The 19,781-nt window shown below is 52.2% G+C and overlaps 1 protein-coding gene across 40 annotated transcripts in view, besides 5 other annotated features; it reads left to right on the forward strand.

Annotated features, from left to right (window-relative positions):
* GRAMD1B (GRAM domain containing 1B) overlaps positions 1-19,781 on the forward strand; it is a 269,346-nt gene that overhangs the window by 211,927 nt on the left and 37,638 nt on the right. For 39 of the 40 annotated variants that reach the window (NM_001367421.2, NM_001367420.2, NM_001367419.2 and 36 more), the window contains 2 exons: positions 7,019-7,229; positions 13,964-13,984. In NM_001367421.2, the coding sequence (NP_001354350.1) occupies positions 7,019-7,229; positions 13,964-13,984 (232 nt within the window). Of the gene's footprint in view, positions 1-7,018; positions 7,230-8,061; positions 8,083-13,963; positions 13,985-19,781 lie in introns of all 40 variants that reach the window. The other variant, NM_001286563.3, reaches the window with a different exon arrangement.
* Positions 5,431-5,932: an enhancer, noted in NCBI's record as "H3K4me1 hESC enhancer chr11:123446487-123446988 (GRCh37/hg19 assembly coordinates)". NCBI's record gives its function as "activates a minimal SCP1, AML or CMV promoter by ChIP-STARR-seq in naive H9 embryonic stem cells {active_cell/tissue: H9 hESC(naive)}" and the evidence as "EXISTENCE:reporter gene assay evidence [ECO:0000049][PMID:30033119]".
* Positions 5,933-6,432: an enhancer, noted in NCBI's record as "H3K4me1 hESC enhancer chr11:123446989-123447488 (GRCh37/hg19 assembly coordinates)". NCBI's record gives its function as "activates a minimal SCP1, AML or CMV promoter by ChIP-STARR-seq in naive H9 embryonic stem cells {active_cell/tissue: H9 hESC(naive)}" and the evidence as "EXISTENCE:reporter gene assay evidence [ECO:0000049][PMID:30033119]".
* Positions 7,031-7,568: an enhancer, noted in NCBI's record as "H3K4me1 hESC enhancer chr11:123448087-123448624 (GRCh37/hg19 assembly coordinates)". NCBI's record gives its function as "activates a minimal SCP1, AML or CMV promoter by ChIP-STARR-seq in naive H9 embryonic stem cells {active_cell/tissue: H9 hESC(naive)}" and the evidence as "EXISTENCE:reporter gene assay evidence [ECO:0000049][PMID:30033119]".
* Positions 8,769-8,991: a silencer, noted in NCBI's record as "fragment chr11:123449825-123450047 (GRCh37/hg19 assembly coordinates)". NCBI's record gives its function as "represses an EF-1alpha promoter that drives an FKBP-Casp9 reporter gene in an ReSE screen in phorbol 12-myristate 13-acetate-treated (for megakaryocytic differentiation) K562 erythroleukemia cells {active_cell/tissue: K562(+PMA)}" and the evidence as "EXISTENCE:reporter gene assay evidence [ECO:0000049][PMID:32094911]".
* Positions 9,853-10,462: an enhancer, noted in NCBI's record as "H3K4me1 hESC enhancer chr11:123450909-123451518 (GRCh37/hg19 assembly coordinates)". NCBI's record gives its function as "activates a minimal SCP1, AML or CMV promoter by ChIP-STARR-seq in naive H9 embryonic stem cells {active_cell/tissue: H9 hESC(naive)}" and the evidence as "EXISTENCE:reporter gene assay evidence [ECO:0000049][PMID:30033119]".

Raw genomic sequence — 19,781 nt, forward strand, 5'->3', positions numbered from 1 at the left:
TGAGGAAAGTGGACAAAGATATTTACTCCACATTTTACAGAGAGGAACAAGAGTCTTTATTTTTTTTCTTTTCTTTTTTTTTTTTTTTTTTTTGAGATGGAGTCTTGCTGTGTCACCCAGGCTAGAGTGCAGTAGCACAATCTCAACTCCCTGAAACCTCCACCTCCTGGGTTCAACTGATTGTCTTGCCTAAGCCTCCTGAGTAGCTGGGATTACAGGTGTGCACCACCACGCCCAGCTTATTTTTGTATTTTCAGTAGAGATGGTGTTTCACCATGTTGGTCAGGCTGGTCTCAAACTCCTGATCTCAAGTGATCTGCCTGCCTCAGCCTCCCAAAATTCTGGGATTACAGGTGTGAGCCACGGCACCCAGCCAAGAGCCTTCTTAATAATACCAGCAGCTCAAAAATATTTATGGAGCGTACCAAGCACTGTGCTAAATATTTTACTTAGGTTATTTCATTTAACACAGTAGTCCTATGAGATAGGTGTTTGTATCTCTCATTACCAGTGCTCCTGGCACTGAGATGATTACAGCCATACATTTGATCATCTAGGTCACTGTAGGGCTGGGCTTAGAAGAAACAACGAAGTCAACACTTCATTGCAGTGTCCAGGTGTGGGGAGGGGGGCTGACAGTCTGACTGGGAATGCGCCAGGGCTGGGGCAGCCAGGCGCACTGCAGAGGGAAGCAGGAAGGAGCAGCTGCAGTCCAAGCAGGTGGAGGCACCGGGGGCCAGAGAGACAGGTACATATTTTGCAATATCTGGGGCAGAAATGATTTTCTCTGAAGGCAAACAAGTTAACTCAAGTGATGAACACCGGAACACCAACTAACTATTCTGCTCTACTCAGGATTCTGAAAAATGCACGGGTAGCTGATCAGGGAGCTGGCTTGCTGACAAGGTCTGCCTTGTGCCTGCAGGACCACAGTGGGGATAAGGATGAGGAAGAAAGCCAAGCAAAGTGGTGTAGCGGCCACCGTGTCTGCAGTGGGCGTGGGGGGTGAGGGTGGGGGCAGGGATGCCGCAGAGAGTCACTGAAGAAAGCCTGAAGAGAGTCCTCATCCTCTTTTTCTACTTCCCTTTTCTCAAGGACATCAGCTAGACCTAACTATAGGAGGTAGGATCAAACCATAGGTAGCATGAGATACTGTGATCAGACTTCAGGGAGCACTGTTTGCTAGCAAGGTAACCAGGGGAGGAGAGCAATAATAGTCTGTGTTGCAGGTCTTAAAAAGAGGGGAAATGGGGAAATGAATGAATGACCTCCGGGTCCCCTGCCATGGCTTAAAGGTGGCTGGTGGGGGTCTTAGAAGACCTATTATGAATGAGAGCTGATGATTTCAGGAATCTCTAAAACATCAGCTTGAGCATGTTATACCTGGTGACTCATGGTTTCTGTCAATGTTCCATATATCCCATGCTATTTTATGCCTTTTCACCCTTGTTCATGCTGTCCGCCACCCCGAACATTCTCTTCTCTCCTACCGTGCCCTCCTTGAACCCCGTACCCTTCACCTGGCTAACTCCAACACATTTTCTGAATCTAGCTCAAGTGCCACATCCTCAAGGCAGCATTTCTTGTTTTCCTTTATTCTCTTCTATCATCCCACCTACTGATTATATTAACACGGGAAGAATAGGCCTCTAGCTCTTCCTGACTGGAAATGTCCCAAGCACACAGATCCTTTCTCATTCACCAAAATGAACTTGAATGCCTCACATATGCCAGGTGGTCAGGAAATATTTGTGGAACTGAAGAGCCAGATCCAAAGTCATATCACCTTGTCTAGGTACTTAACCCCCCTAGACTCAGGTTTCTTACATGTGAAGTTGAGAGCTGAATATACTAACTCTAAACTCTGGGAGGGAGTCTTAGTCCCATAGCCCATCTAACACCAGTCTTCCTTCCATCCCTACAGCATATGTAAGGTCTTTTTTATTTTTAGCTCTTAAATCCCAAGATTTTGAAATATAATGCAATCCTGTTATTAATAATAGTGGCAGGGTCAGATGAATGGCACATTATAAAGTTGGTTTGAAACTTTATGTTATGTTATGCATGTTAGGTGTTAGAAGATACTCAGGAATTGGTTTTGTTTGCTCAGCAGGACATCCAAATCCATGGGATAATGGGTTAACTGGTAAGAGTTTCAGGACTCTAGCAAGTTTAGTGCTGACTTTGCTGAGTTAGAACTAGAACTGCAAACATTTCTTCTTTTGTAGAGAAGGATCAGAGTGGAGGTAGAGCACCGGGTGGGGACATGTAAGGGGTATATGTGGGCTTAGTCTGGAAGTGTAGATGTCCATCAGGTAATTGGAGGGAGAGAGAGAGAGAGAGAGAGATTGCTGAGACATGGAAGAGTGAGTGTGTATGGCAAAAGGATCTGCAGACAGACCCCAATGGCTGAGGCAGAGGCGCAGGTAGGCCCCGATGGCTGGGGCAGAGGCGCAGGTAGGCCCCGATGGCTGGGGCAGGGGCGCAGGTAGGCCCCGATGGCTGGGGCAGGGGCACAGGTAGGCCCCGATGGCTGGGACAGGGGCGCAGGTAGACCCCGATGGCTGAGGCAGAGGCACAAAGAGGCCCCGATGGCTGGGGCAGGGGCGCAGGTAGACCCCGATAGCTGAGGCAGAGGCGCAGATAGGCCCCGATGGCTGGGGCAGAGGCCCAGGTAGGCCCCGATGGCTGGGGCAGAGGCGCAGGTAGGCCCCGATGGCTGGGGCAGGGGCGCAGGTAGGCCCCGATGGCTGGGGCAGGGGCGCAGGTAGGGCCCGATGGCTGGGGCAGGGGCGCAGGTAGGCCCTGATGGCTGGGGCAGGAGCTCAGTTAGACCCCGATGGCTGAGGCAGAGGTGCACTGGAAATGTAGCCAGTGTTGGGGTTTTCAGAGGTAGGCTGAGTGAGATAATTGAGGAACATATAGTCTAGAGTTCAGGTTTTATTCCACAGAGGGTGGGAAATTATAGGGGTCTTTAATCATCAAAAAGGATGAAAAAAATGCCAAATCCTCTTTTTAGAAAGTTCACTTTGACAGGAAAAGAGAGAATGGATTGAAGCCTGGAGGCAGGAAGTTGATTCCTTCTTTCTTTGTACTCACCCAGCTACCCACTGTCTTTCCATCTGTGCCTCTTTCTGTCCACCGGGCAAACAAACACAATTGAATGCCTGCTTCCGAAAATGAGCTTGACAATCAGATAGGCCTGTGTTTGAAAGTTTGAAATCTTGCCCTGCCTCCCATCCATCTGTGTGACTTTGGGTGAATTATTTAATCTGTCAAGAATCCAAATATATCACCTGAAAAATGGGACTAATAATACTGTTCTTTGCAACTTCATGGGTTTGTTGGGGGGATTAAACGAAATAATATTTAATAAGTACTCGGTGCTGCACCAGGAGCTCATGAACACTCAATAATGTTTAGTTATTTTTATGAATATTAGCAGGTTGTAGGTACAGATTTGGGAGCCATCTTGATATTCGGAATTGGTAAAGCCAAGGGTATGAAGACTGTCACTAGGATGGGATTCAGTTCAGCGGAAAACATGCCACTTACAGAGCCCTGCTGGGTCGTGTGGGGCGTGCAGAGGGCTGAGCCTCCAGGAGTTTGTAGGTCCTTCATACCAGGCTATGTGCTTTCAGTGCTTTAGTCAGCTCCAAGGTGGAGATTTAGAAAAGCTTTTTGGAGCAAGTGGGATTTGAAATGGGTCTTGAAGAATGAACAGAATTAAAAAAAAAAAAAAAAAGAAGAAAGAGCAGGACTCCAGCAGGGAGATGCAGAGGGCAAGGGCTCTTTAGGCTCAAGTAGTGCGTCGTATGGGAGTTTGGAGGCAGGAGAAAGAGCATGTATATTAAGGGAATTGGGGGAAAGTGTATAGGTGTGGAATATGCAAGCCCTTTAAGAGCATATAAGGAGAGAAAAAGCATAGAGGTGTCATTTACTTTTAGCAGAGAACTTTAGATTCCATTTTGAGGATTTGGGACTTTAATGTGGGAGCTACTAGAACACAGTAAGATGTTGGGCTTGTATTTAGAAAGATTAATGACACAGCTGTGAGTGAGTAGGAAGAGGAAAAGGAGGCAGAGAAGACCACTCAACTGGCTATTTATTGGAAGAGGGTGAGCAGAATTCCTTGAACCTGAACTGGGGCCCTGGGGAAGGAAGGGAAGGATGAGGTAAAAAGCTTTGTAGAAATAGAATTGGTGGAATTCAGTGACTCATTTTTTAGTGGAGTGAGATGGAAGAGAGGGGTCTGCAGCCTGAGAAACCTGGTAATGAAACTGCCATTGAGAATGGGCAGTCGTGGGAGGAGGTCTGGGAGGAAAGATGTCCAGCTCTGTGTTCAGTGTGGGGCACTCATGAGACATTGTCTGGAGGAAGCATCCACCTGGCAGCAGGTTGTTGGGTCAGGCTAGCGACTGTGACCAGGGCCGGAAGCAGGTAGAGGAGTCTCTGCCTGGTTGAAGTTAGAGAAAGCTGGAGACGGCCAGGGAGGTGACAGACTCACCTTTAGGGAAGGATTAATTGCAGGCTGGGTAGCAAGAGTTGAGACAGTAGTTGAGACCGGCAGAGGAGTAGAAGAGAGGTGCTTGTCATCAGGGAGAAGTTTCCAAGAACAGCACAGATGATCAACAGCCTTAAGAGCACAGAGAGATGGTATAAGTTGTTTATTGGCTGATGTGTTGAAGGCAGCATTTTAGGTGTGTAGATCTTTGCATGGTGTGTGTAGAGTGGGCTAAAGTGGGACTGCTGGGCGGTGAGGAGTTCTCATGCTTTGATCATTTCATGTGAGATTCGTGTGGTTTTGGATAGTTGGAGTCAGTTCTCCTCTGGTTAGAGTGTGTTGCCAACCTCTTGCTTGAAGCCAGTTAGCAGGGATTCTGGGTTTGGGGAAGGATGAAGGAATCTCCTTTCCATTCCAGGGTCTGGAATTTGTGAGGAAATTACACAACGGCTGGGGGGCCATTGTGTCTGAGATAGGCATGTACTTGATTGTCATCCTTTTTCTAGTTCTTTTTGAGACAGGATCTCATCATGTTGCCCGGGCTGGTCTCAAACTCGTGGTCTCAAATGATCCTCCTGCCTCAGTCTCCCAAGTAGCTGGGATTACAGCTCATGCCACCACTCCCAACTTCTCTAGTTATTTTTTGAGCAAACTATTATAGTTGGGACTAGAGGGTAGAGGTCCTCGTTGTTCTAGTAACATAATCCTAGAAGACAGTTTAAACCTTGGAATATGTGGTTACGGGCTTGAGTTGGCCCTAGAGCAAGGAGGCTCACCCCAGAAAGACGTGTGTTGGCACCTGCTCTCCACGCTTCCCCAGGGGTTGTGCACTCATGGATCTGCCTGCCACCAGCCCCACGGCCTGGCATCTCTAACCAAAGTAAAGGAAGGTACCTTCCTTTCTCCAGAGTTTATGGTAGCAAACGAGTTTAGAGAGTAAGGATAAGGAATGGGTGGGGCAAAAACGGGAAGAGCCTCTTTTGAAAGAGGCATCTTGGGCCTCCCCCAATAACAATTATTGTTAGTATTAGAAATGAGATTTTAAATGCAAATTCTGTTTTAGGATGAAGTGGAACATTGGGCCTTGCTTTTCTCCATACATATTTGGGGCACATTTATCTTCCTTTTCTCTGGTCTCCTTTTTTTTTCTTTATCAGTTTCCTTCCAAAAGTTACCGCACTGCCTGCCCCCAGCTCCCCTCCTGCCCACACTCGCTGGTTTAGGCTCTTGGGATTTGTTGCCTTTCTCTCTGCTAAGGATGTCCAGGTGGAAGGTTTTGCTGAAAGGGGCATGGTTTTCATTGCAAATGGGGCCAATGGGACATCTGAGGTCACAGCTGCATCTTCATGCAAATGACAGTGTCCCCAGCCCTGCACCCCACTCCCCGAGGGAAGGCTGGGATGCAGCCTGCAGGGGGGTCCAGGGTGTTCCTGAAGCCTGACCCAGCTGAGAGGCTGCTGAGCAGGTGGGCAGGACACCCCAGCAGCCCCGTGCAGGCTTTCCAATCTCACATTTCCTTTCCTTCCCATTTCTGCTGGCACTTTCTACTTAGCCTCTCCCTTTCTCCATCTCTTTCCTTTCTCCACTCTCGGAAGCAAAGCAAACATTCAACTGCATTCAGTTTCTCTCTCCCTTCTGTCTCTCATCTCTTCTTCTAGTCCATTGAAAACGGAAGTGAAATATCAAATAGTCAATATTTTATTTGCAGCTTATAAGCCTTGATGTAAGTGGATTTGGTCCTGTGGGAAGTACAAGGTACTTATTGGGAATAAATGTTGGGGTAAGGGAATATGGAATGTGAGAACTTCGGCTGTGTGCATCTTTACCCTGGGCAGAGGAAGCAGGAACCCACATGGCTTCCTTACAAGGAAATAATATGGTGTGGGTGAGTTACAAATCAGAAGAGCTGCACTTTGTTTCTCTCAACAGTGGGCATTTAGCTTCCCTCTGTCAGGCACTGGTCTTCATTTTTTAACATAGGGATTATGGTACTTGCCATTACTCCCTTGGTGGAATGTTTTAAGAAATAATGCGTATGTGAAGGCTGTGAAAAATAGGATTGTAATTGTTATTTTCATGAACAAAAATATCTGAACAAAATATAGAAGCTTTGCATTTGCAGTATGTATAAAATGAGCTGATTGTATTGGATGGTCTCCAGTGAGCCTTTCAGGTATTAAATTCTATATGCCCCAGACAATTTTTGGCATATAATAGGGGCTCAAACAATAACAGGTTGGACGGACGGATGGACGGATGCATGTCTAGATGTCGATTGCCCGTTGGCTCGTGCGTCTGTGTCCACATGGGCACTGCTGCCCTCCCGTGGCCAACGGCAGTATTACGGTGCGGCAAGCCGCAGCCTGGGCCCCTCTCTCCCGGTTTCTCCCCAGCCCCTCACCTGGCTCCCTGAGCTGGCTCCTTTGGGCTTGTCCTTGGCCTCGATCACTGACTGCCTGCCTTTCCTCCTCCTTCTCTTTCCACCCCGCTCCCTCTCTCCATCTGCCGCTGCAGCACTGCCAGTAACTCCAACCGCAGCACGCCGGCCTGCTCGCCCATCCTCCGGAAGCGGTCTCGCTCGCCAACCCCGCAGAACCAGGACGGAGACACCATGGTGGAGAAGGGCTCAGATCACTCCTCGGACAAGTCCCCGTCCACACCGGAGCAGGGCGTGCAGCGCAGCTGCTCCTCCCAGTCCGGCCGGAGCGGCGGCAAGAATTCCAAGGTGAGCGGGACCCCGTTGAGGCGGTACCTCCTTGTCAGGGGCTGCGGGGAGCGATATTGGGGTGGTGAGCCGGAGAACATCTGCGAGGGTCCTCACGTGATGAACAGCCCTGATGGCTCAGAGACAGTCATTATCCAGTGAGGTGAGGCGGGGCAGGCAGGAGAGACCCTAGTTAAATATCTTCCCCGCTAAGCATTCTTGGTGGGCTGGGCGAGGTAGGGAGGCTCATATTTTTTTTTTTTAGATTTGGAGGGGAGACGCTCTGGGAATCATTAGGGGGTCATCTGCTTATTCCTGCTACCGTTTTCAAATTTGGTTCCTAGAGCCGGGGTAGAAGGCAACATTATTTGGGACATTATACTGCTAGGGAGAGTCCTCAGGGAACCTTGCAGAATGCTATTTTTAACCTCCTCCCCGGCCATCCTTCCTGCCTTACCTTTGCACTAATCCACTTGGTACTCACCTGGCAGAGAGGAGGGTGGCAGGGCCTTTCCATCCTCCCAAGGATGTCAGGACTGCCCCCTGAGTACCGGGGCCCTTGGCCCATGGATATGCCTAAAATAGGCCCCAGGGGGGCCTGGGCTAATTATGGTTCCCCAGAGATGTCTTCCCCACCCTCGGTCCTTTGGGGAGCAGGAGATGTCTTTGCCCAGGGTCTCCTTCAGGAAACTTCTCTTCACCCTGGGACCCCCAGGGCCTGGGAAGGGGTTGGGGACCCCTGGGAGGCATGGGAGCTGGCTTCCCACTTGAATTTGTCTTTTGATTTCTTGTTCTTCCTCTCCTCTTCTTCCCCACCATTTCCCAAATACCTTCTTTGCATGCATGGTCTTAGTCTCACAAGCGCCTCTCAAAAGTAAGCCATCTTTTGTCTCTGTCCTTTTATCTCCCCTCTAGTGTCGATCTGTCTGTAGTGCTCAGCACCCCCTCCCTCTGGCCCTGCCGATTCTGGCCCTTATATCCTGCTTGGTCCCTTTCCCAGAAGGGCCGGCCCCACTGTCCCCCGGCAGGCTGGCTTGGAAGTCATTGAAGGCCCATTTTCACTGCACCTGATGTCGGAGAACAGACCCTCCCCCACTCCCGACCCTGCACCCATGTCTGCCTGCTCCCTGGACACTGCCTCTGGCTGGGAGTTTATTCCCTCCTTACATGGTGCGGTCGAGAAACAGAGCCCTGCCTGGCGTTAGTTTCATTCCTTTGGGGCAGGAGACCCCATCTGGTTGTACTCCAGGCCCCTCCCCTTTGGTGGTTGATTCTGGATTGCCCAGCAGTGGTGAGTGAGGATGGCAGGAGGGCTGCGCTGACTGGGGGGCAGGGGTTCAGGTCGATGAGTTCATTGGTGCAGCAGCCACGCCCTCAGGAGCTCTGCCTGCGTACTCTGTTCCTCCCCACTCGAGAGCTGCTCAACCTGGGCACCCCTTAGCATTTCTAACCACTGCCCAGACTGGGGTTCATGGTGTGCTTAGGATCCTGAATCATGATCAGAGGGGAAAGCTGTTCTCCCAGAGGGTGGGGTGCCCATGCCTGGAGGTTGGCAAACATTGGCAGAACCTGGAGAGATGTGGCCAGTGCCAGAGTCTTTCCCGGGAGCCCAGGAATTCTGAGGCCACAGGAGAACGTGCAGCGAGTGGAGGGTGAGCGATAGGTGTTGTGGAACAACAAGGCCCATGGGGCAAGGAGGTGGGATGCAGCCCGAAGAAGGGGAAGCCGAGGATGACTTAATAATAGTCCCAAGTCTCTCCGTGCTTTGGGGAGGAGGAGGGTGAACAGCTGTTCCCTTTCCTAAGGGAAGCACAAGGGGCGACACGGCTAATCCTGTAGTCTGTGATCTTTAGACTAAATGCACATCTTGGCTGTGAGGATTTTAAATGGCCGTTCCTGGCTGTGGACAGGGAAGGAGGAACTTTACCTGGAGCGAGGAAGCCAGCAGGAGATCTCTGTGGGCTCCAGCGGCTCGGCAGGTGCAGGCATATCTGATATCTGGGAATGGGGTTTTGAAATGCCCTGTGGCAGCCCCCTCTTGAGTGCCTCCCACCTCTGGCCTGGTTGATGTGGGACTAGTGGGTGCTCGAGGCTCAGCTGGCAAGAGGGTGGATATGGCCTGACAGGGGCATCAGGCTCCCCACTCCCTGCTCCTGCACACTTTTCCATCCAGATTCTGTACACCCTAAGCCTGGCTCTTGAGTAGTTGGGGATGTTCTGTAAGCTCCGAGGTAGGATAAATCATTTGAGTGGGGCAGCCAGGACAGGCGTCAGGGACCAGGTAGAATTCTGAGTGGGGTTTTGGAGATGCTAAAAGGAGACATAATGAAGGGACTGAGAGCTGAGCAGGAATCAGGGGCCAAACTGGGCCTTTTCATAGGAACTGAGGAGGGAGGTGCTGGGGTGAGTGCAGGTCTCCTTTCCCCTGGGAGATTGGGTGGACGCCATGCCCATCCCTGGCAGACACATTCTGAGTTTTCTGACATTGGTTACCCACTTCCCCACCTCATTCTCCCACTGATCATTGCCATCGACACTTGCCCTGCCATCCTTTCAATGGAGTTAAAAGAGGACGGGCTTGTGCCAGGAGGGACACTGTAGCATCCCACGTGGAGCTGGGAGCCATTGCATTGGCCTGGGACGTGCATGTGCAGGACACACAGACTTCAGAAGAGGAACACAAGAACCAGTAGGGGAATTAGGTTCTTTGAAGGCCAGGGCCTGAAGTAGATGGTGCGGCAAAAAGAGGAGGTTCTGGTAGCGGGATGGGGACATGCCCCTCCCCGTGGAACATCTTCTGGGGTTAATCACATGTCTTCCCAGCAAGCCATTTCATAGCTGTTTTTACTGATATTGTTGTAGCTGGTCCACCTCACTCCCTGTCTCCTGGCCACCCCTAGAGGACACCATGCCTTATATTTTTTGGGCAAGCTGGCCAGTGCCTCTGCTTCTCCCTGGGGTCAGGTCCCATGCACGGTGTCTTTCTTCCCTTCTCTGGGCCTCAGTTTCCTCATTTGCTACTATGTAGGCATGGCACCAGGTGATCGCTAAGGCCCGACCCCTCTGGATCCATCATTGTGCTGTCCAGGCCGACCCTCCTAGGTGCAGTCCGGCCCCAGCACTTCCCTCCCAATGAGTTTGTGCTACCGCCCAGCTTCCGCTCTGTAGTGACAGCCTGTGGCCACCAGAGGGAGCGAGGGGCCGTTCTGCCGCTCTCCCACCTGCCCTGAGGGCGCTATGCAGCAGGTGCGGCAAAGCGCGCCTCCTCCCGCCCTGCTGCACACCTCCCCACCGCGGTGCGGGCATCGCGCTGGCGCTGTGGCACTGACCCTTCTTTGACTTTCCTTTTTTTTTTTTTTCAAATCTAATTTTTGTGGTTTTCTTTCCAGTATGACAGACTTAACCTGATCAAAGTAAGAATTGTTTTTTATTTCTAACTCCTACTAAATGTAGAGCTCTCCTAGTCCCTGCCCCCCTACCTCCTCCACACCCCGCACCTTACTTAATCTTCCAGACTCCCGGAGCCTTCGCGGTGGGAGATGTTTCTGGAAACCACCTCCCAGTAACCTGGGTCTGTTTCCAGGGGCCTTGCATTCCTTTAAGTGCTTGCTCTTCAGACCTTCTAGGAAAAATGATAGAAACGAGCATGTCCCCAACAGCTGTGTCTTTGTCCTGACTCCCTTCTTCCTCTTTGGCCAAATCCATGTGTTTATAAGCTGTCAGAGAAGGCTCCACTGCTGCTCCCTGGTTCTGTGCCTTCCTTCCCTCTGGCCTGGTCCTCCAGGTAGGGGCGCTACAGCAAACTAAAGCCAGAGGATGAGGGACGCCCCTTCTCACCCCCAGAGGCCGGCAGCTCCTCTGACTTCCCTGCCCCTGTGGGTCTGGGTCCTTCCCGTCTGGCAGAGCCTTTGGGACTCATTTCCGGGAATGCAGAACCACGGGGATTGAATGTGCCTCTGGGCAGAGTTCAGGGACCCCTGCCCACAGTGGACAGGCTCGGGGGCTGCTTTGGACGTGGCTGGAGGGGGGACCCATTTTTCCTGTGGCCCCTCAGTGGCAGCAGGTAAGAAGCTGCCTGGAGATTGCTGGTTCAGGGCAGAGCCTCAGCACAGTCCTACTCCTTGGTATGTTTCACGTTTCTTTTCAGTTCTTTAGTACATGTTCTTACCCACGCTTTACAAAAGAGCAAACATTAGATATAAGAGCATCACAGATCAGGTTAAAGACAGGACTGGCTTCCCTGCCTGAGGCTGTGTGTGACCCTCACACTTTGTTCCACATAGATTTGGAAGGCACAAGCGCCGATGTGCCAGCCCATGCAAAGGGACCATCTGCTTCTGTCTACCTGGGGCAGGAGGGAGCCCCGTGCAGGAGGAGTCACAGGCATCCGGGGTCCCCCTGTCAGCCCATGTTCCTGTTGCCCCCTTTCCTCCCAGCGTCTTACACGAAGGTCACGGCATTGAGACGAGGAGCTGGGAGCTTGGGAGATGGTTTCTCCGTTGTAAAGCAGGGATCTCGTGACCTGGGTTGCATTTGAGGAAGCACAAGGAGACTGTGGGGCTGCTGGGGCCGGCAGCTCCCAGAGCGCACCTTCCTACTGCTGGGAGGTGTCTTTTGTAATGAACATCTGCACAGCCTCTTGCCCTGTGGGCTTCGGATCAGGGCTTCTGTGTGAGGACGCAGGAAGTGAGCCATCCCTAGGCGCAGACGCCAGACGCAGCCTGCTTGCCCCATCCACCCCCTCCAGAAGGGGGTAGCCTTGGCTGCAATGCCTAGAGGCGAGTTTTCAGGTCCCGGACTCCCATGTGGCCGCACCTTTGTCAGGAAAAAATAGTTTTTAATATTTGGATTTGGGCCCTTTACCTGCTGAGACCTCTGAATTGGAGGTGGGGATGAGGCTAAGATGGGAGGGTGTGGCCTCTGGATGGACCGTGGTGACAGGTTGGGAAGTGACCCTGGAGAGCACCTTGCAGAGGGGGACTGGGAGCCTTGCTACTGGCCTCTAGTCACATCCTGGCCATCGAGGGCATGTGTGAGGACGAAGCTGCTCAGAAGCAGCCCCACCCACGCGAGGCCCCTCAGCCCCCTCCAGCTCCTCTGTGGACTGGTTTCACTGTGGGGGGTGAAGGTGGACCGTCTTTACAGAGTTCAGGTGGAATGGGGGAGATAGATCACATGGCCACTGGTCATCACCGCGGGCACACACCCACCCTTGTGCGTAGTCGCTTCCTTCCCTCTAGACACAGCAGACATTCGAGGACCATGGCTACTCTTGTCTGCCCTTCTGGGTTGGGACGCTTTAACACCAGGTGGAGGGGATCCAGACCTCTGGGTGGAGCTAAGGTATTGATCTGTGAGCAAAGCTCCCCCACCCAGCGATCCCTAAAACTGAAAATAATCTAAGCTCCACCGAGAGATGGAGCTTAGGCATGTGTGTGTGTGCATGCGCAAGTGTGTGCGTGTGTATGTGTGTGAATGTATGTGTGTATATATGTGTGTCTCTGTATATGTGTGTGTCTCTGTGTGTATGTATGTGCCTGTGTGTATATGTGTGTGTATATGTGTGGTGTGTGTGCATGTGCACATGTATTTGTGCATGTCTGCATGTGTGGGTGGTGTGTATGTGTTTGTGTATATGTGTGTGTACGTGTATTCGTGCGTGTGTGGTGTGTATGTGTGCATGTCTGTGTGAATGTGTGTGCACATGCGCATGTGTGTGTGCATGTGTGTGTGGTGTGTGTGAATGTGTGTGTGCACGTGTGGATGTGTGTGCATGTGTGTGGTGTGCACGTGTGCATGTGTGTATGTGTGTGTGCACGTGTGTGGTGTGTATGTGTGCGTGTGTGTGTGTGTCTGTGTATATGTGTGTGTACTTGTGTATTTGTGCGTGTATGTGTATGAGTATGTGTGTGTATATGTGCACACAAGCTTGTCTATCTGCGTGTCCATCTATCTTTCAAGGGGGATGTACATGAAGGACTACTGGCCATAGGGCTTGAAGACAGACAAGGCACGATCTTAGCTATCCCTCCTGTTCCCCTGAGACACATTCAGGTCCCCTTCCTCCTGGGTCTGGGAATGGAGAACACTTAAGTTCTGGAGCTGGGGTGGGGTCTGTTTTGCTTGTTCTGAATTATGGCACCACTGGGTTGGAATGGACCCTTAGTGATTATGTGCTTCAACCTCCTGCCCCACGCAGAACCCCCAGGCACTCCCCGACCATTGCAGTTTAGGTACAGCCCATTTTTTGGCGCAGGAGGGATTTACTCACCCGCCTGCTGAGAGTGCAGTTGGAGGGAGTTTTAGGTAGTCCCCTTTCTACCTCGAAAGTGTCCCACCCTGCCTTTTACAGGGGGCTGTCTTAGAGCAGAAGGCTGGGTTGGCCGCCATCAGCATTTTGCTTCTGGTCAGGGCCCATTTGGGGACTGGGTCTCCAATGCCCACAGCGCGCCCCTCACCCCATCAGAACCTTGCGATGGGGCTCCGACTCCCTTCCGGTTGAGCTCTAGCTGGTGCTGCCGCTGCCTGCCACCCCGCCCGCGGTGGGCTTCCAGCATGGACTGCTCCCGGGCCTCCTTTCTGGAACTGCCTTGAGAAAGGAGGACCCCTCCTGAGCAACCACATGGGAAGCATTCAGCTGCATTTGGACCCCTCCTCCCTGCCCACCCTCCGCTGTCTGTGTGCCCTTCCCCCTGGCCCTTCCCCCCATTTCTTCCCTGACTAATTCTACCTTCTCTTTCATTTTCTCTTTTCAGAAAAGCCAGAGTTGGTATAATGTAAGTATTCCTGTTTCCCTTCTTGTTGGGTACCTGAGAAATGGGAGGGGGAATGGAGGTTGGGGGAAGGGGTGTGGGGTGCGGTTGGGCTTTCCTGTGGGCTTCTTTCCTTGGCAGCCCCTTTGCTCCTAAACCAGCTGCAGCGGTTATTTTCTTCAGCAGGACAGGGCAGCCTTGGGGAGGGAGGATTGCATTCAGGGGACCAAGGAGGCGTGGCCAGCTGTATCCCCTGCCTCACCTAGGCTCTTAGACAAGGGTCTGTCAACCCTAAAAGAGGAGACCAGTCAGGGAGGGAGTGGCCATTCCAGACCCTGACAGAATTCTGGTGCTGGGGCAGCCTGGGGGCCTGAACTTAGTTTTCTTCCCTTAACATTTTGGGGCAAATGCAGCGAGAAAACTTTCCCCCATTGATAGAAGAGTCAACCCATGTGCTGGGATTTGACCCCTGTCCCAAGTACCCCTTCAACAGCTGCAAAAGCGTGCCCTTCCTACAAGGCCTCCTGGTGCTTGGGACTGTGGTGAAGGTGTGGCGTGGGGCCACTGTCTAGGTCATCCTGGGGCGCCCTGTGCAGCTGCTGCATACCTAGAAACTGTTGTGGGGTAAGCAGGCCTGGCAGAGGCCACCGCCTGTCACTCACACAAACTGGGTGGTGGGATTTGGACGTTTTCCTCTGCAGAGCAGCTGTCTGAGGCTCTCAGCTGGCCCCCGCCGTGTGTTCTGCTCTTTGGGGACTTCACAGTGGAGGGGCTGACCTCAGATGACCCTCTTTGCCTCTCTGAGCCTGCCCTCCTCACACCTAACTCTGATGAATCCTGGGAAAGCCATCTTTGCCCCCTCCCCGGACACACCAGGTTCTGCTGCAGCAGGAGATATGGGCATGGAGTAGCTGTGGCTGTGAAGGACAGAGCTGAGGAGGGTACTCTGGCCAGGGGATGGGCTGGAGGGGAGAGGTGTGGGTTTAATGTAGGGACAGGGTTGCAGATCAATTGTGTGGGCTGTGTGTGTTTTCCTACTTGGCGCTGGGCGGTTCCTCAAAGTCAGGCATGTGCTCACGAGCCCTGTGGCTGCCAACATCCTGCTGCCCAGTGACCAGCCCGTCCTGGGTGCTGTTGATTTGCAAGCCTTGGCTGCCACCTGCCCAGCACCGCAAACAAGGCAGAATTTGGTGGGCTGTGCTGAGTTGTGGAGAGAGTTATGGGCTGAGGTATCTTGGGGTGGGAGAGAAGCCACACTCTACTTCTATCTCTGAGCCACCCCCTTACCTTCTAGGAGGTTTCCTGGCCTGTGGCGTCAGAAGAGGGGAGGGGGATGAGTGCTGAGCTTCCTGGGAGCGACCCGCAGCCCAGCTGTCATGGGGACCCCAGCATCCTTCACTCAACTCTCCCTTGCACCTTTTTAAGCAGCATCGCACAAACTCAGGCCCCCATAGGGGAACAGGACCCACGTGGCTGCAGGCCTGTTAGTTCAGACATCTCCGTTTGGACAGGCCAGCCCCTGTCCTTGTTGCTAATCTCCTTCCTCTTCTCATCTGTCATTTCTCTTTTTATTGCTCTTTAGCTCAGACTTTTGTTTTGTCTCAGCCTGTGCTTCCTTGGATTCTTCTCAGCCCTTTGCTTTCTGACTCCACCCCTTTCCTTTCCTTTAATCTCCTACCATTAGCTTCTTTCTCTGATTTCCATTCTCCCGGCTAGGTTTCCCTCTCTGTCTGATTCTAACAGGCTTTACTTCTCCCCTTCTTTCCGCCATCCTTTCCCCCTGTTTCCTTCTCCCTTAGCCTCCGCCTGAGTACTCAGCATAGCGATGGGGTAGAAGCAGATGCTGTCTCTTGGCTGGAGGATGGGGTGGGCCAGAAGTCAGGGGTTCGGATGACACATATGAGAGCCAGCGGAGGAGCTGGGCGTGACGGAGTCCTGCTTTCTGATGGTTCCACCTGCACCATGTCTGTGCAGAAGCTGTTGGACCTCAGCGACTCTGCATCATCCTCCTAGATGTTCTCTTTTCCCAGCCTTGTCCTGCCTCTTCCTCTATTAATTCTCACTTGTCTCCTTTCACCTTCCACCCTCTCATCCCAAGTGCATTACAGAAACATCCCTGACTCTCCACTTAGCTCAGATCATTCATTCTCAGAGGCCAAGCGCACAAGGGGCTCTTTGCTGAGGAGTGTGTGGGGCGGTCCTCTCCTGGACTCATGCGGTCCCTCTGGGGGTCCGCCCTCGGGTGACAGGGCACCCTGCTCCTTCAGTGTGCAGTGCTCATGTCCGTGCTTTCATGTGCAGATGCCTCCTTAGGAGCTGCAGCTGAACGAGCTCCTCTCCGCAGCACCCCTCCACAGCTGTCATCTGCGCCTCTTCAGGAGGCCCTTGCCCTGCCCCTGCTGCTTTGACCTGGTTTTCTGTGTTCCTTCAGGGAGCTCCACCTTCCTGCCTTGCCTCTGCTGGGCTGGTTGGAATCTGCCCTTCAGGCAGGATCCCTCTCCCCTTCTCAGCTTTGCTGACTGTCCCTCTATAACCTCTCTCCGGATCCCAGGGTCAGTGCTGCAGCCATTCTGATATCTGAGGCTCATTCGTTACACTAGACGTCCTTCAGATAGGTAAAGGCATTGTAACGCCCAGCCCTGGGGATGCTTAGGAAACCCCTGGCTGGAGTCAGGGCAGTGAGGGCCAGTGCCCTGCAGAATCGCTGATAGTGGCAAGAGCATTCAGGCCCACTGGAGCAGCCTGGGTCTGGTGGGAAAAGCCCAGCCACCAACCAGTCCATGCCCCAGCCTCCCCTTCACCTGCTGCCTCTCTGCAGAAGACAAAAGCATTTCCTTTGACATGACCAGCCAGGGAGGAGCCATTGCCATGATGACAGACATGCTTGGTCTAAAGAGTGAGTCATGCGGAGGCAAGTGGCTGGACCCCAGGGACACAGGGAGAGGCCATAGCAGGAGAGTGTCAGGTCCAGAGTGGGGTTTGAAGGCAGTGCCATCTACAGGTGCCCTGAGTCCTCCCATGCCCAATTATATGTACTCCTCCTTACCCCCGAAGCCCCAGTCTACCACCCCAGTCATATTCATCAGGGCCTTCAGATCAAGGGAGCTGCCCTAGTAGACATGAGATGGAGGGAAAAGCAGAAATAGGGTTTTGCCTTCAGCAGGGAGCCAAGGGCAGAGTTGAGGGGCAACCTGGCCAGGGCCACTGGGGCAAGAGGGGTGAAATTTACTCCCCCTCAGCCCCCAACGGGGCATAACATCACAGGGGTTTCCTTCCTTGGCCTCCTGGCGCATTCCTGCGGGCAGTCTTCTCCATGGCAGCCCCAGAAGGAGCATTTCTGAGATCAGAGCACAGGAGCCCAGACCCTGGCAGCCGCCTGAGACTTAGCACCCTGCTTGCCTGAAGCACCTGCAGTTAGGGCTGCAGCTTTGTGGAGGAGAGGGAGGGATAGTGCCAAGCCTGGGGAGTGGCTGGCACAAGCGAGAAAGCAAAAGAACAAAGGTTTGTAGGAATGGAATCCAGGGTGTTGGGGTTGGGCAGCGGAGAGGGTAGGAGACCTGCCTCGAACCTGGTGTTGCTCCAGGACTGACACTGCTCCTCCTCCTCTGTCTGTCTCCCCTCTCTATTTACTCCCAACTTGAAGGGTCTTCCTGCCTCCCTTCCTGAGTTTTTCAGATGAGCCCCCAGCCCAGCCCAGCCCCACCCCTTCTCTACCCTTCTCCATAGCCCCCATGCCTGCCTCAGTCTCCCTTTCCCTCCTTTGCTCAGTTACGTCCTCGTCTCCCGTCCCACTCTGCCTTCTGCCTATCCAGATTTGGCTGTAAGGTCAGAGTTTCCTGTGTGGATCTTAACTGGTTTCTTCCTAGCTGAGATCAATGCCCCACCGAAATCCATCTGTTTTCTCCTGGGCTCCTCCACCCCCTCCTTCTCGCCATCCCTGGGAAGAGGGTACCACTTGGTCCCAGCTCCTGGTGTTTGCCGTAGAGTTAATGTTTAGCCCAGGGTCAATTCGTTCTCTGCTGGCTCTCACCCAGCCCTGCCCAGCCCTTGGCATGGGTGTGGGGGAGACAAAGCCTTCTGCGTACGGGACTCATCTCCCAGGGCTTTATCTCACAGGGCGTATCCTGTCTCTATCTCACCCCTTACAGCTCAGGCAGCCACTTGGCCTGTAGCAATACTCAAATGTTTTTGGGTAGTTACTGTAAGGATCCAGAGCCTCCTGGAGCTACCTACAGCCTACATACTGGGGTCTGGTGTCACCCCAAGGGAGGCATTCTGATCACCTTGGAAAATGGACTTGCTACGTTTGCCTGCCACGCTGCTCGGGATAGGGCTGACATGCAGGGCGAAGAGAAGTTTGCACGTGTGCTGGGGAGAGTGTTGGCAGCAACCAGGTACTGACACGCCAAGCATATAGAATCAGGGATCTTCGTGTGTACATGTAAGATGCAGTGTCAACAGGCATCCTTTGAGAGGTAGATAAGGAATGCATTCACTTGGTAAATACTTTCTTAGCACCTGATACAGTATCCCTTATCCAAAATGTTTGGGATCAGATGTGTTTTGGATTTCTGATTTTTTTGGATTTTGGAATATTTGCATATATATATAATGAGATATCTTGGGACCCAAGTCTAAACACCAAATTTATTTCCTATATCCCTTATACATATAGCCTGAGGATAATTTTATATAATATTTTAAATAATTTTATGCACAAAGAAAAGTGCTGACTGTGTTCCATTCCTACAAACCTTTGTTTGTGACCGGAATGTGTCACATGAGCAGCGTGTCACGTGAGGTCAGGTGTGGAGTCTTCTGCTTGCGGCATCATGTTGGGGCTCAAAGGGTTTCATGTTTTCAGATTAGGGATGCTCAACCTGTCCTTGAAACATATCACGGCAAGTGCAGTAGAAGATATGAACCTGTTTGAGGCATAGATCCTTCCTGGAGGTGTCCTTCAGACAGAGTGAGACATGCTACACCATGAATGGAGAGCTGCGTCTGCATCCGTGGGGTGTCCATCTAGAGAGGGTTGTAGGAGTTTGTTAGGGGAGGGTTTGCAGGAGGAGTCAGACTCTTCTACTTTCTCCAACACTGTTTACCTGGGAGAATCCAGGTTCCTTTAAATTAGCGTCTTTGGAATCTACTTTTTTTGAGAGTCTCTCTCTGCCGCCCAGGCTGGAGTGCAGTGGTGCGATCTCCGCTCACTGCAACCTCCACCTCTGAGGTTCGAGCAATTCTCCTGCCTCAGCCTCCTGAGTAGCTGGGATTACAGACACCTGCCACCATGTGTGGCTAATTTTTATATATATATATATATATATATTTGTAGTAGAGACGGGGTTTCACTATGTTGGCCAGGCTGGTCTCACACTCCTGACCTAAAGTGATCCGTCCGAATTGGCTTCCCAAAGTGCTGGGATTACAAGCACGAGCCACTGTGCCCAGCCTGGAATCTACGTTTTTACATGTGTTCACTGGGCCATTTTGAAGTACAGTAAAGTTTGGGGGCTGCTGTATTAAATTACCAAGACTCCTAAGACAAAAGCACCATTCCTAATCCTATGCGGGCCAAGACCCTCCTGGCAAGGTGGCAGAGCTGGGGAGAGTGAGGGAGCAGCCCCATTTGTTTTAAGGGTCTGACTTTTCCTGGGAATCCACATCTTCCCCACCCCACTGCTGTCTCATCCCTGTCCCTAGCTTCTTGGTCTGGAGGCTTTCTTGCCCCATTGGCCTGGCTTTCATTTCCCTGGATTTTGCTGCTTTGAGGACCAAAATCTGTGCTTTTAGTATTGCTACTTTGACCTGAAGATCTGAC

This window comes from Homo sapiens, chromosome 11, assembly GCF_000001405.40.
Source record: "Homo sapiens chromosome 11, GRCh38.p14 Primary Assembly".
Taxonomy (NCBI): Eukaryota; Metazoa; Chordata; class Mammalia; order Primates; family Hominidae; genus Homo; species Homo sapiens.